Source organism: Homo sapiens, chromosome 7 (genome assembly GCF_000001405.40).
Source record: "Homo sapiens chromosome 7, GRCh38.p14 Primary Assembly".
Classification (NCBI taxonomy): Eukaryota; Metazoa; Chordata; class Mammalia; order Primates; family Hominidae; genus Homo; species Homo sapiens.
Genome location: NC_000007.14, coordinates 66,888,943 through 66,903,527, shown reverse-complemented (window position 1 = coordinate 66,903,527; position 14,585 = coordinate 66,888,943). Strand labels below are relative to the sequence as shown.

The window sequence follows — 14,585 nt, the reverse complement described above, 5'->3', positions numbered from 1 at the left end:
GGGCCTGGAGAGGATGGTGAGAGGCAAGAGCTTGGCCCATGGAGGCTGCCAACAGGCAGGGCAGGAGCTTCGGCTGATGTGGCCACGCTGAGGCAACAGCTGGGACTGGGGGGTTCCACTTTTAGAAGGCAGAGGCCGTGCTTCTAGGGGCCTATGACAGGCAGGAGCTAGGCCCGGCGAGGCCGACTTCAGGATACTTTGGGTCTGCACAGGCCATCAGCGGAGGGCAGGAATTGGGCCCTGGATGGGCCAACTTGAGAAAGCCTTGGGCCGGTCGGGGTGGGCGGGAGCTGGGCCTTGAGAGACCACCGTCAGGCGTGAGCTGGGCCTAGAGACCCCAGTGTGAGGCAGGCGCCGGGCTTTTTGAGGCCGCCGAGAGGCTGGCAGGAATACAGCCGGGGAAGGCCGCCGTGAGGCAAGAGCTGGGCCTGGGAAGGCCGCTGCGAGGCCACAGGTGGGCCTGAAGAGCTGTGCTGGAGGAGGTTTCGGGCCTACAAAGGCCGCCAGGAGCTGGGCACGAACCGAGTCAAAAGCGGCTGTCTGCAGGCAGGGGCTGGGCCTGGAGGTACAGCCGCGAGAGTGTGCTGGGCCTGGAGAGTAGGCCGGGAGACAGCCACCAGGACAGGGGAGGCTTGCCAATTTGGGCCTGGAGAGGCCGCCACGAAGGAAAAGCTGGGCCTTTGAAAGAGGCCATTGTGAGGGACGAGCCGGGCCTAAAGAGGCCGTCAGGACGCAGGAGCCGGACCTGCGGAAGCCGCCGAAAGGCAGGAGCCTGGCCTGGGGGAGGCTGCAGTGAGGCATGAGATGAGCCTAAAGAGGCCATCAGGAGGCAGGAGCTGGGTCTTTCGGGGCTGCCGCGAGGCAGGGGGAAATGTGTCCCGGGGAGGCCGACGCGAGACAAGAGCTGGGCCCGGAGAGGCCGCTGTCAGGCAGGAGCTGGGCCTCTCCAGGCCGCCAGGGAGCTGAAGGCAGGGCCTGGAAGGCCTGACTTAGAGGAGCCTGGGGCCTACAAATGCTGCCATGAGCTGGGCAGGAGTTGGGCCGAACGTGCCTGTTGCGAGGCAGGAGCTGGGCCGGCAGCCACAGCCGGGAGGGAGAGCTGGGCCTGGAGAGGCCGGCTGGAAACAGTTCTGGACCTGGAGAGGATGGCGAGAGGCAAGAGCTGGGCCTGTGGAGGCTGCCAACAGGCAAGGCAGGAGCTTGGCCTGAGGTGGCCATGCTGAAGCAAGAGCTGGGTCTGGGGGGGTCCACTGTGAGGAGGCAGAGGCCATGCCTCTAGGCGCCTACGACAGGCAGGAGCTGGGCCTGGCGAGGCCGACTTCAGGACGCTTTGGGCCCACACGGGCCATCGGCGGGAGGCAGGAACTTGGCCTGGAAGGGCCATCTTGAGAACGCCTTGAGCCGCGAGACGCTGTTGGGGTGGGCGGGAGCTGGGCCTGGAGACGCCACTGTGACGCCTGAGCTGGGCCTAGAGAGGCCAGTGTGAGGCGGGAGCTGGGCTTGTTGAGGCTACCGCGAGGCCGGCTAGAAAATGGCCGGGGAAGGCCGCTGTGAGGCAAAAGCTGGGCCTGGGAAGGCCGCTGTGAGGGGAGACTGGGTATGGAGTGCTGGACTGGAAGAGATTTCAGGCCTACAAAGGCTGCCAGGAGCTGGGTAGGAGCCGAGTCAAAAGAGGCTCTTTGGAGGCAGGAGCTGGGCCTGTAGACACAGCTGCGAGAGAGGACTGGGACTGGAGAAGAGGCCGGGAGGCAGCAACTGCGGTGGGGGAGGCCGACTTGAGGAATTTCTCGGCCTGGAGAGGCCACCAAAAGGGAAAAGCTGGGCCTAAGGTGGCCGTTGTGAGAAATGAGCTGGGCCTAAAGAGGCCATCAGGATGATCAGGACGCAGAGCTCGGCCTCTGCTGCAGAGGCTGCTGAAACGCAGCAGCTTGGTTTGGCGAGGCCACGGTGAAGCATGAGATGAGCCTAAAGAGGTCACTGGAAGGCAGTAGCTGGACCTGTCAGGACATGACGCTCAGGTGGTTATGCGAGCGATGGGGAGGGGCTATAAATACAAACGAATTTTCCCCTCACTTTGCTGCTCACCACCAGCTCTGTGGCCCTGTGGTGGAGACCCCTGCTCAGGTGCATTTGAAAGGTTCCGTCCCATGCCATTCTTCAGAGTCATCTTTATTGCCACAGTGGTGAAGCATAGCATCCGTTAACTCGCATGGCATATGCCTTGGCTAGCATTTCATCACAATAAACAGTAAGTGGTAGCTTCACTCATTGTGAGGACACTTCCTGGAAATCACCAGCATCCCATGTCCCATTGGCAAGAAACTCAGCACTGCTCCTTGGATAACCAAACCAAGGCTGAAATCCCATGTATATGTGTCTATCTCCTGGTACTCTTCCTAGCATCAATTCTGTATTTCTAGGAGTCCAATCAAAACATATAAACCGCTCAAAAGTTTAAACTGGAATGCGCACGGTGGCTCAAACCTGTAATCCCAGCGCTTTGGGAGGCCAAGGCGGGTGGATTACTTTGAGCTCAGGAGTTGAGACCAGCCTGGGAAACACGGCAAAACCCTGTCTCTACAAAAAGCACAAAAAAAGCACAAAAATTAGCCAGGCATGCTGGCACATACCTGTAATCCCAGTTACTTGGGAGGCTGAGGATGGAGAATTGCTTGAGCCTTCGAAGTGGAGGTTGCTGTGAGCAGAGATCATGCCTCTGCACTCCAGCCTTGGTGACAGACTGAGACCCAATACCAAAAAAAAAAAAAGTAACTTTAATATAAAAAATATTAATTATAACAGAGGATCAGCATAATGAGTGACACACTAGCACTAACTACAGACAATTCTAGAGAATACAAAACTAGCAGAGGCCAGGCATGGTGGCTCATGCCTGTAATCCCAGCAATTTGGGAAGCCTAGGTAGAAGGACTGCTTGAGGCCAAAAGTTGGAGACCAGGCTGGGCAACTTAGTGAGACACTGTGTCTACCAAAAAAAAAAAAAAATTAGCCAGGTATGGTGGTGGTGCACAACTGTAGTTCCAGCTACTTGGGAGTCTGGGGTCGGAAGATCCCTTGAACCTGGGAAGTCTAGGCTGTAGTGAACCAAGATCATGCCAGTACACTCTCGCCTGAGCAGCAGAGTGAGACCCTGTCTTAGGGAAGGGGAGGGGAAGGGAGGAGAGGGGAGGGGAGAGGAGGGGAGAGGAATGCTAATCCCCCTATAAGAATCTCCTCTTCTCCTGCCCTCTCTGGAACCTCACTTGTCAGTTCTTCCTCCCACTTCCCTGTATGTTTAACCTGTCCCCTGCTTTTAGCTCCTTCCCACCAGCATTTAAATTACTCAAACTTCTGCTATTTTAAAAAACTCTCCCTAAACTCAGTGTGTTCCCTGCTTTAGGTCTCCAGCACACCCACTGAGCCATCTGCTCCCCCTGGTGCCTTCTCCACACAGCAGCGTGAGCCATGTCTCTCATACGTGAATCTCATCACATTACTCCCCTGTTTACATCACTTCTCCTTGCCTTTGGGATTAAGTCCAAACTCCTTAACAGGCCCTGCTCTGCCCTGTCTTGCAAGGCAGCCTCACTGCTTGCCCCTCTCCATTTTACCTGCTGTGGAGTCCAACTGAGCCTCATCTGTCCCTTGAATGCCCACTCTCTCTCTCTGCGAGCCTGCGAAGTGGGTGATGCCCTCTGCTTAGAATACGCTTCCCCTTATCTACTCTCTTCCTGGCTAGCTTCAGCTCCTCTGTCACTTGTCCGCTTTAGCACCACCTCCTCCAGGAAGTCTTCCTTGACTCCCTAGATTCTCAGGAGCATGGGAAGCGAGGTGCTCCTCCCATAAATGAATGGAGATTAGGGAGTGTGTGTTATTCATGTTTAATTCACCAGTGCTTACCTCAGTACCTGGCACAAAATAGTCATGGTGGTGGCCAAAGTATCACAGTGGTGGCCAAAGTAATGACCCCCCAACTGCTCATGTCCTATGTTACACCGCATAATTACATAGGAAGGGGGAATTAAGAGTACAGATGGAATTAATGTTGCTAATCAGCTGACCTTAAAACAAGATTATCCTGCAGTATCTGGGTGAGCCCATGTAATTACAAGGGTTCTTTAAATGTGGAAGAGGGAGGCAGAAGGTTAAGAACCAGAGACATTGGGCATAATGGCTCATGCCTGCATTACCAGTACTTTGGGAGGCCAACACAGGAAAATCCCTTGAGTGCAGGAGTTCAAGGCCAGCCTTGGCAACATAGCAAGGCCCATCTCTACAAAAAAAAAAAAAAAAGTCAAAATTCACCGAGTGTCATGGCACCAACCTGTAGTCCCAGCTACTGGGAAGGATGAAGTGGGAGGATTGCTTGAGCCTGGAAATCTGAGGTTACAATGAGCCATGATTGGACTACTGAACTCCATCCTGGGTGACAGAGCAAGGTCCTGCTTCTAAAGAAAAAAACAAAAGGACATTGGAATCAGGGTCCCCTCCATCCTAAGGTGCCTACAAGACATCTCTCTCTGCAAATGAGTGAACATCATCCTCCAGCTCCTCACAGAGTGGAGCAGCAGGAAAACTCCCTCACCTCATTTCTGTGCTGCTTGGGAGGCCTGGACAGCTCAATAACCAGCTCCTTGTGGAAGAACCAATTGGGAAATGGCTCGAGTTGAGCTAAGGAGAATTTGGTTCTTTCTTATGGTTCTCAATAGGCAGGGTAGGGGCCAGGCATGGTGACTCATACCTGTAATCCTTGCACTTCGGGAGGCCAAAGTGAGAGGATCGCTTGAGGCCAGGAGCTCAAAACCAGCCTGGGCAACATAGCAAGACCCGGGTGGCATGCACTTGTGGTCCCCACTACTTGGTAGGATAAGGTGGGAGGACTGATTACTTGATCCCAGGAGTTTCAGTCTGCAGTGAGCCATGATGATACCACTGCACCCCAGCCTGGCTGACAGAGCCAGACCATGTCTCAAAAAGTAAAAGAGACTATAGGCAAGCAACAACACATCTGGCTAATTTTTAAATATTCTGTTGAGATGAGGTCTTGCTAGGTTGGTCTAAAACTCCTGGCATCAGGCCAGACACAGTGGCTCATGCCTGTAATCCCAGCACTTTGGGCGGCTGAGGTAGGGGGATCACCTGAAATCAGGAGTTTGAGACCAGCCTGACCAACATGGCAAAACTCCGTCTCTACTAAAAATACAAAAATTAGTCGGGCAGTAGTGGCATGTACCTGTAATCCCAGCTACTCAAGAGGCTGAGGCAGGAGAATCGCTTGAACCTGGGAGGTGAAGGCTGCAGGCAGCTGAGATCACACCACTGCACTCCACTCTGGGCGAGAGTGAGATTCTGTTTCAAAACAAAACAAAACAAAAACCTCCTGGCATCAAGAGATCTTCCTGTCTCAGCATCCAAATGCCCCGGGATTATATTTTTTGTTTACCATAATTGAAAACACTTGTTCTTATACTGCTTTAAGGTATAAACGAAAAAAAATGGACAATAACAAATGTTGGTGAAGGCCAGGCATGATGGCTCAGCCTGTAATTCCAGAACTTTGGGAGGGTGAGGTGGGCAGATCACTTGAGGCCAGGAGTAAGAGACCAGCCTGGGCAACATGGTAAAACCCCATCACTACAAAAAAATATAAAAATTAGCCAGGCATGATGGCGTGTACCTATAATTCCCAGCTACTCAGGAGGCTGAGATGAGAAGATCATTTGTGCCTGGGAGGTCAAGGCTGCAGTGAACTGTGATGGCGTCACTGTACTGCAGCCTGAGAGACAGAGCAAGCCCCTGTCTAGAAAAAAAAAATAATGTCAGTGAAGATGTGGAGGAACTGGAACCCACATACATCACTGGTGGAAATATAAAATGGTGTAACCACTTTGGGTATTTCTTTTCTTGTCATTTTAATTGGATTTTTAAAAGAAAAATCAAGACAGGGTCTCACTGTCTTGCCCAGGCTGGTCTTGAACTTGTGTGCTCAACCCATCCTCTCAAATGAGCCTCCTGAGTAGCAGGGATTACAGGTGTGAGCCATTGCACCCAACTGGTGTAGCCACTTTAGAAAACAGTCTGGCAGTTTCCCAAAAGGTTAAATGTAAAATATAATGTAACAATTTCACTCCTAGGCATATATCCCAGAGAAATAAAAATATATGTCCACACAAAAACTTGTACTGTAATCTTCATAGCAGCATTATTCATAATAGCCAATACGTGGAAACAACCCAAATGTCCACCAACTGATAAATGGATCAACAAAATGCAGTGTGTCTCTACCATGGAATATTATTCAGCCATAGAAAAAATGAAATACTGATATACCCTATGACATAAAGGAACTTTGAAAACATTGTGCTAAGAGGGAAAAATGCCACAAAAGATCACCTATTGTACAATTCTATTTGTCCAGATTAGGTAGTGACAGAAAATGAATCCATGGTTGCCTGAGGCTGGGGGCAAAGGCAGGTTGGGGGAGTGGATGTAATGGCTAAGGGTGCAGATTTCTCTATAGAGTAATGAATGGTTCTAAAAGTGACTGCGGTGATCGATGCACAGCTCTGTGAATATTCTAAAATATTCTGAACTGCAGATTTCAATAAATTGAATGGTGTGTGAATCATATTTTAATAAAGCTATTATTTAAAAACATAATAATAAGGGGCTAGGCACAGGTGGTCATGCCTGCCTGTAATCCCAGCACTTTGGAAGGCTGAGGCAGGAGGATCACTTGAGGTCAGGAGTTTGAGACCAGTCTGAGCAACCTAACAAGATCCCATCTCTATGAAAAAATAAATAAGTAAATAAATAAATAAAAAATTAGCTGGGCATGGCGGCACATGTCCGTAGTTTCAGCTACTTGGGAGACTGACGTGGGAGGATGGCTTGAGGCCAGGAGTTTGAAGCTGTAGTGAACCATGATCATGTCACTGTACTGCAGCCTGGGCCACAGATCAAGATCTTCTCTCTAAAAAGGAAAGAAAAGAAATGCAAGTTTTTATCACTTTTTGAGTGTAGCCAAGTTTGAGGAGAAATAGATAAGAATAAAAGAGCACTGAATAATGATGGTTAGTGGCTGGTTAGGCTCAGCTGCCAGCTAAGTGGATTCTGAAAAATTTGTTAGTAAAGTTACAGCTCTGGGGACAGTCATGCAGTCAAACAATGAATGCTAAATTCATTACAAATGCCCATGGTCTTTCTTTACATGCCTTCTAGTGAAAAATTCCTAAGTGCCTGAATAGCAAGTCTGCAATGATAGCAGCTGTTTATTAAAGGCTACAAAAAAGAAATGGCATCTTCTTCAAGAATGACAAAGTGTTTCATGATAAAGAAGCTCTAATTTTGCATTTGTTCAAGTATTGATTAGATTTAGCCAATATGAAACCAATCTTGGATAAAGTGCAAACAACATAATTTCATTTTCTCATTAATCAAAACTGATTAGGTAGTCTAATGTCAATTCTGATCTTATTAAAAAGTGATCAGATAAAAAAAATTACGGAATGATGAAACCAATAAGATGTTACAACCTGTTCCAAGGAGAATTCCAAAACCCACACATATCTGAGACCATCAAGTATGAGGAAATATATCTGATTACTAAAATTAAAAATAAACTGATTATATAGCCAACAATAATTAGGCAGGGGTCTCCTCATCCACAGCCACACAAACTCAATCATGCAGCTATGTGGCTGCAAGGCCTCCATAGCCTAGAAGGGACTGGTCTGACTTGAAATTTCATTTTATTTGTATTTGTATTTTGAGACAGGGTCCCGCTCTGTCACCCAGGTTGGAGTGCAGTGATATAATCATAGTTCACTGCAGCCTCGTCCAACTGGACTCAAGAGATCATCCTGCCTCAGCCTACCCCTAACTGGGAATACAAGCAAGTGCCACCATGTCAGGCTATTCTTTTTTTTAATTTTTGTAAAGAGAGGAGTCTTGCTATGTTGCCCAAGCTGGACTCAAACTCCTAGCCTCAAGAGATCTGCCCACCTCGGCCTCCTGAGTAACTGGGGCCATAGGTACACAGCACCATGCTCAGCTGTATTTAGTTTACTGTATTAAATTTCTCTATTTTGTTTTTGTAGAGAGGATGTCTTGCTATGTTGCCCAGGCTGCTCTCCAACTCCTGGGCCTTAAAACATACTCCCATCTCTGCCTCTCAAACTGTTAGAACTACAGGTGTGAGCCACTGCACCTGGCCCGACTTGAGATTTCTTTCATCTAGCATCCTTTACTTGGTAGGATTGGGAAAGGCAGCAGTGTTTTTTAAAATTACTTAATAATTCCATTAGAATCAAGCTCAACCTTGACCCCTGCCTTATCTCACAGCCCACACCCAGTCTGTCAGGAAATCCTATTGGCTGACTTCAACATCTATCCAGGTTCTGACCATCTCTCACCACAGCCATGACCCTGGTCAGGACCACTACCATCTCCCACCTGGATGCTGACACAGCTTGGCCCCCATGCTTCTACCCAAATCTTCCCACAGTCTTTCTCAACTCAGCAGCCAGGGGGTGCTTTTAAATCAGGAGACAGATCATGTCGCCTCTCTACTCAGAACCCTCCTGCAGTTCCCATTTCAGTCAGAATAGAAGTCAAAGCCTCAGCAATAGCCTCCCAGGGCTTACACGATCTATACTGATCACCGCCTAGCAACTCCCTGGCCTGCTCCCTTACTTCTCTCCCTCTCTCTCTCTGCTCCACTGGCCTCCTTCCAGAGCCTCAGACTCACCAGGGAGTCTCCTAATGCCTTTATCCTGTTGATTCAGCCTACAACGCTCTTCCCTCAGCACCTTGGCCAGCTCCATCACCTGCTTCAAGCTTTTGCTCAATTTTCACTTGTGAGGCCAACCCTCACCACTCTATTTAACATTTCCATCTGTCATGCGTCCTTCCTTTCTTCCTTCCTTCCTTTCCTTCCTCCTCCCTCTCTTCCCTCCTTCCCTCCCTCTTTTTTTCTTTCTCTCTTTTCTCTTTCTTTCTTGAAAGAGGGTCTTGCTTTATTGCCCAGGCTGGAGTATAGTGGCTCAATCACAGCTCACAACAACCTCAACCTCCCAGACTTAAACAATCCTCCCACCTCAGCCTCCCTAGGAGCTGAGACTACAAGTGCATACCACAACATCTGCCTAATTTAACAAAAATTTTTTTCAATAAGAAGTCTCACTATGTTGCCCAGGCTTGTCTTAAATTCCTGGGCTCAAGCGATGCTCCCCATCTCAGCTACCTGAAGTGCTGGGATTACAGGTGTGAGCAACTGCCCCTGGCTCATGTTCGTTTCTTCTTGCTGCTGCAACAAACTACCCTATATTTAGTGCCTTAAAACACCAAAAATCTGCCATATTATAGTTCTGGGAACCAGAGGCCCAAACTAGGCCTATTAAGGCTAAAGTCAAGGTGTAAGAGGGGCTGCATTCCTTCTGGAGGCTCTAGAGAGAATGTGCTCCCTTGTCTTTTCCAGCTTCTAGAAGCCACCCCATTCCTTGACTCACCTTGAAGATAGCCCCTGACTCCATCTTGAAGGCCAGAACTGCAACATCTTCAAATCTCCCTCTCTGACCTCTTCTTCCATCACCACATCATCTTCTCTAATTCTGAGAATTAATGAAATATTATGCTTGATGTTATTGTGATCATCATACCTATTCCAAACTATTTGACAAGGACAGTGATGGATGATAACATCAAAAGATTAGAAACTGTAATGAGGTCTCTTGGGCAAAATTCCATACAAGCAAATTACTGTCTCTCCAAAGCACTCCTGCCACTCTTACTTCACCATTCCCTGAACAAAATGTGCCATCTTCATTGTCCAGGTCTTTACAGTGCTGGTTTCCCCACCTGGACAGCCCACTCCATCCCATCCCAGCCCATTCCCCATCCCTCCACCTCCTCCTTCCCTCCTCACTCTCATACAACTCTTCCTCATCTTTCAGGACCCAGCTTCAATGTCAACTTAACTGGAAGCTTCTCTCACCCTCCAGAAGTGCTTTCCATTGTTCTTGATGTATGCACTATTATTTGATCATTTTTTAGTTACAGTCCAAGTCTTTTTGTACCTGAATAACATGTTGCCCAGTCAGTCTCTCTTCCTGGACTCTGACGTCTTTCATGGTAGATCCAGCTGGAAGTGACAAAAAGACATCCTTTAAAAAAAAAAGGAGGGATGAAACAGACATCAGTACTTAAAAGTTTTAAATGGTATGTGAAAAGCAAACAAAATTCAAGGGCTTCTAGGAAAAACGTAGGATGGAAGGTGTTAGTGGGAAATATGATAAAGGGTTAATTTTTATTTTATTTTATTCTTTGAGAAAGGGTCTTGCTCTATTGCGTGGGCAGGACTGCAGTGATATAATCACAGCTCATGGAAGCCTCTACCTCCGGGGCTAGAGCAATCTTCCCACCTGATTTTTATTTTATTTAAGAAACACAGTCTTACTCTGTTACCAAAGCTGGAGTGCAGTGGTGTGATCATAGCTTACTGCAGCCTCAACCTCCTAGGCTCAAGTGATCCTCCAGTCTCAGCGTCCCATGTAGCTGGGACTACAGGTGTGCACTGCAATGTCCAGCTCATTTTTTAAAAAATTTTAATAGAAACAAAGTGTCACTCTGTTGACCAGGCTGGTGATGATCTCCTACCCTCAAGCAGTTCTCCCACCTCAGTCTTCCAAAGTGCTGGGATTACAGGTGTGAGCTGCCACATCTGGCTGAGGGTGTTAATTTTTAATTATATAAAGAGTTCAAAGCAAACATTAGAAGGAGCCTAAACGCCTACAGTGGCTGACTGGTAAACTGTGATACATCTATATAATAAAATATTATGCAACCATGAAAAGGAGTAAGATAGATCAATAGGTATTGGCATAGATGTCCACGAAATATGAAAATGTGAAGTGATGTCCAATTAGCCTATATGTATCTTGAAGAATATGGCCCATTTTTGCAATAGCAATTATTTCCTGAGATAAAATTGTGGGTCTAAAGAGTGAAGGAAAATTTTCACTTCTTTATTTAAAAGTATTTACTATTTTTATAATTTCATAAAAAATAGATAATCAAATTAGTAAAAGACTCATTAACTCTATAAATAAAGGGAAAAGACACAGACAGCCCAGGCATGGTGGCTCACACTTATAATACCAGTACTTTGGGAGGGGGTGGTGGGAGGATCGCTTGAGGCCAGGAATTCCAGAATACCCTGGGAAACATAGCAAGACCTCGTCTCTACTAAAAATAAAAAAAATTAGTCAGGTATGGTTCCATGTGCCTATAGTCTCAGCAACCGAGGTGGAAGGATCACCTGAGCCCAGGAGGTCAAGGCTGCAGTGAGTCAAGACTGTATCACTACACTCAAGCCTCGGCGACAGGGTGAGACTTGGTCTCAAAAATTAAAAAAGGACAATGAAGAAATAAAGCTGATAAGCTAACACAAGGAAAGATATTAAAATATGACAAATAAAAATAAAGTAATACTAGGTATTTTATTTATTAAAAATAGTCAAACAAAAAATAACTTGTTAAATTATAATACCCTGTGCCGGCAAAGGTGCAATGAAATGTGCATTTTCTTTTTTTTTTTTTTTTTTTTTTTTTGAGACAGAGTCTCACTCTATTGCCAGGCTGGAGTGCAGTGGCGTGCTCACTGCAACTTCCAACTCCTGTGTTCAAGCGATGCTCCTGCCTCAGCCTCTCGAGTAGCTAAAATTACAGGCACAGACCAGCACGCCCAGCCAATTTTTGTATTTTTAGTAGAGACGGGGTTTCACCATGTTGGCCAGGGTGGTCTCGATTTCTATCTCGTGATCCACCCACCTCAGCCTCCCAAAGTGCTGGGATTACAGGCATGAGCCACTGCGCCTGGCCTGAAATGGGCAATTTTTTTACACTATTAGTGGTGTTTAAATTGTATATAAGCCTTTGAGAGTAAAGCTTGGCAGTCTTTTTAAAATAATACAGACAGTGATTCCCTATACTGCCTCCTCTAACTCCTGGCTTCAAGCAATCCTCCCTCCCACCTCAGCGTCCCAAAGTGCTGGAATTAAAGGCAGACAGCCACCATGCCTGAAAGCTCGACAATTTACATCAGGTGTAATAAGAATGCTCATGCCCTGTGACTCACAGTAATCTCACTTCTGGAAATATCATCTTTGGATATAATTCAAACAAAAGGTCATATGTACCCAGTGAAAATCTGGGAGTAATTTTTTTCTCTTTTTAAAAAATATATGGAATGCTTCACAAATTTGCATGACATTCTTGCAAAGAGGCCATGCCAATCTCTCTATTGTTCCAACTTTAGTATATGTGCTACCGAAGCAAGCATGAGTAATTTAAGATAGAGTGGTTAAGTGGAATAAGGAAGAGTTATGGGGAATTTCAAAAATCTATCATATTTATAGGCACCTAGTAACAGCTCAGTAAATATTAGCTGCTACTTTTATTATTTTTATGGTAATTCCACTCAATTAAAAACTGTCATTAAAAATTACCATTGTCATGGAACATAATGTATCCTACAGTATAACTGTAGAAACAGACACAATTTGTCCCTTGGTATATGGGGGGATTGGTTCCAGCTCCTCCATTTCTATGTATACCAAAATCCACACATACTCAAGTTTTTGAGTCAGTCCTGTGCAATCCACATATAGGAAAAATGGGAAAATTAGTGAGGTGTAGTGACAAGCACCTGTAGTCCCAGCTACTTGTGAAGCTGAGACAGGAGGATTGCTTGAGCCCAGGAGGTTGTGGCTGCAGTGAGCCATAATTGCACCACTGCACTCCAGTCTGGGCAACAGAGTGAGATAGAAGGTTGACTTTTTAATAGAATTTTTCTGTTCACTTGAAGATATGGCCAGGACTGTGCCATATGACAATTCTTCATAAAATAATTATCTCACCCAATTAATGTTGGAATTGGGAACAGAAAATGTTTTGGTGACTATTTATTCCTTCACTTGCTGTTATAGAAACTATTGCCAGTGGGCACTTAACAACCAAAAGTGTCATCTCTGAGCTACCCACAATGAAAGGTGATGTCTGGGGCCCAGGTGTGTTGAGGTCCCCATGTCTGGGCTATGGGTGCTGAGTGGGACTTACTTGTCCATCCATTTTCTGTATTCCAGCACTGGGAAACTTGGGTTTATCCATCTTGATAAGAGGTCATTTAAATTCCACTTGGCAAGAACCCCAAATGGAAGAAAGGCCATGAAACCACAGGCTAGCCCTTGTTCTCAAAAGAATCTTTAGCTTAGGTGGTTCTGTAAAAGAGGAATCACATTGTTGAAAACTCATCACAGGTCAGGTGAAGTGGCTCATACCTATAATCCCAGCCTATTGGGAGACTAAGGCAGGAGGATCCCGTAAGGCCAGAAGTTCAAGACCAGCCTGGGCAACACAGTGAAACCTCATCTCTACGAAAAATTAGAAAATGAGCTGGGTGTGGTAGCACAGTCCTATAGTCCCAGCTACTCTGCAGGCTGAAGTGGGAGGAGGAAAGTGGAAGCTGCAAAAGTGGAAGCTGCAGTGAGCTCTGATCTCACCACTGCACTCCAGCTTGGGTGACAGAGTGAGACCCTGTCCACACACACACACACACACACACACACACACACACACACACACTTTCATCTCAGTCTGCACAGCCTTGACTAGTGAAAAGGGTTTTCTGGTTACAGAAGAGGTATGCTCTTTTTTAGGACAGGGAGGGACCAGCAAGCTTGTTCACAGCCTTTTCCTCATACTCTGCTTAGTTTTCCAAGAACCTTTATGTGGAAAGGGAGTCCCTGAAGAAAGGACCTAAATCATCAGGTTACTAAAGGAGAAATATGCCTCCTTTGTCAATTAATAAATGGAACGCCTGCCTTAAAAACCAGAGTTCTGCTAGGATGAATCACTCCCTACGACCCTGAGCTATGCAGCGAATGTAAAAACCTGGAGTTTGGGGACCTACAATATTGAAGGCCACACTGCAGATATGGAGACCTTACCAAAGTACAGCCTTTCCACAAGGAACTACCAAACACCAGCTGGCTGTCTCCATGGGGCACCGCTGTATCTCTGGCTCTCATTTCCCCAGGAGATGCTCTATTCCAGCCTTCTCTTACATTTTGTATCCCGCACAGTTCCTGGCATAAGGACTCACAACAAAGCAAGCTGCTGAGTTAATGGTGATCTACTGCAGATCCAACTTGAGATTCCAGCAGGGCGATTTGTGTTTGAGAAATTAAAGGGACCCAGCCTGGCACTGGCCAGCTTAGCAGTCTGAAGACATAAGCTGCTCAAACTGACTACAGTGCCTCTGATTTTCTGAGTCTGCCCTTGCTCTTAGGGCTCTTTGGATGAAATTAATTTCTCCTTGTTGAAGAAATGGCTTGCTAGAATATAAAAAATATAAAGAAGAAAAAATATTAAAATAAATTTTTCTCCTAAAGAGCACTCAAAAGCACACTCCCACTAATGGTGGATCTATTTATCTCTCTTGCTTTTTTTTTTTTTTTTTTTTCTTCCTGAGATAGGGTCTCACTCTGTCACTCAGACTGGAGTGCAGTGGCGAGATCACCACTTAC

At 46.7% G+C, this 14,585-nt stretch overlaps 1 pseudogene; it reads right to left on the bottom strand.

Annotated features, from left to right (window-relative positions):
- On the bottom strand, nt 12,237-12,340 carry RNU6-1254P (RNA, U6 small nuclear 1254, pseudogene; annotated as a pseudogene).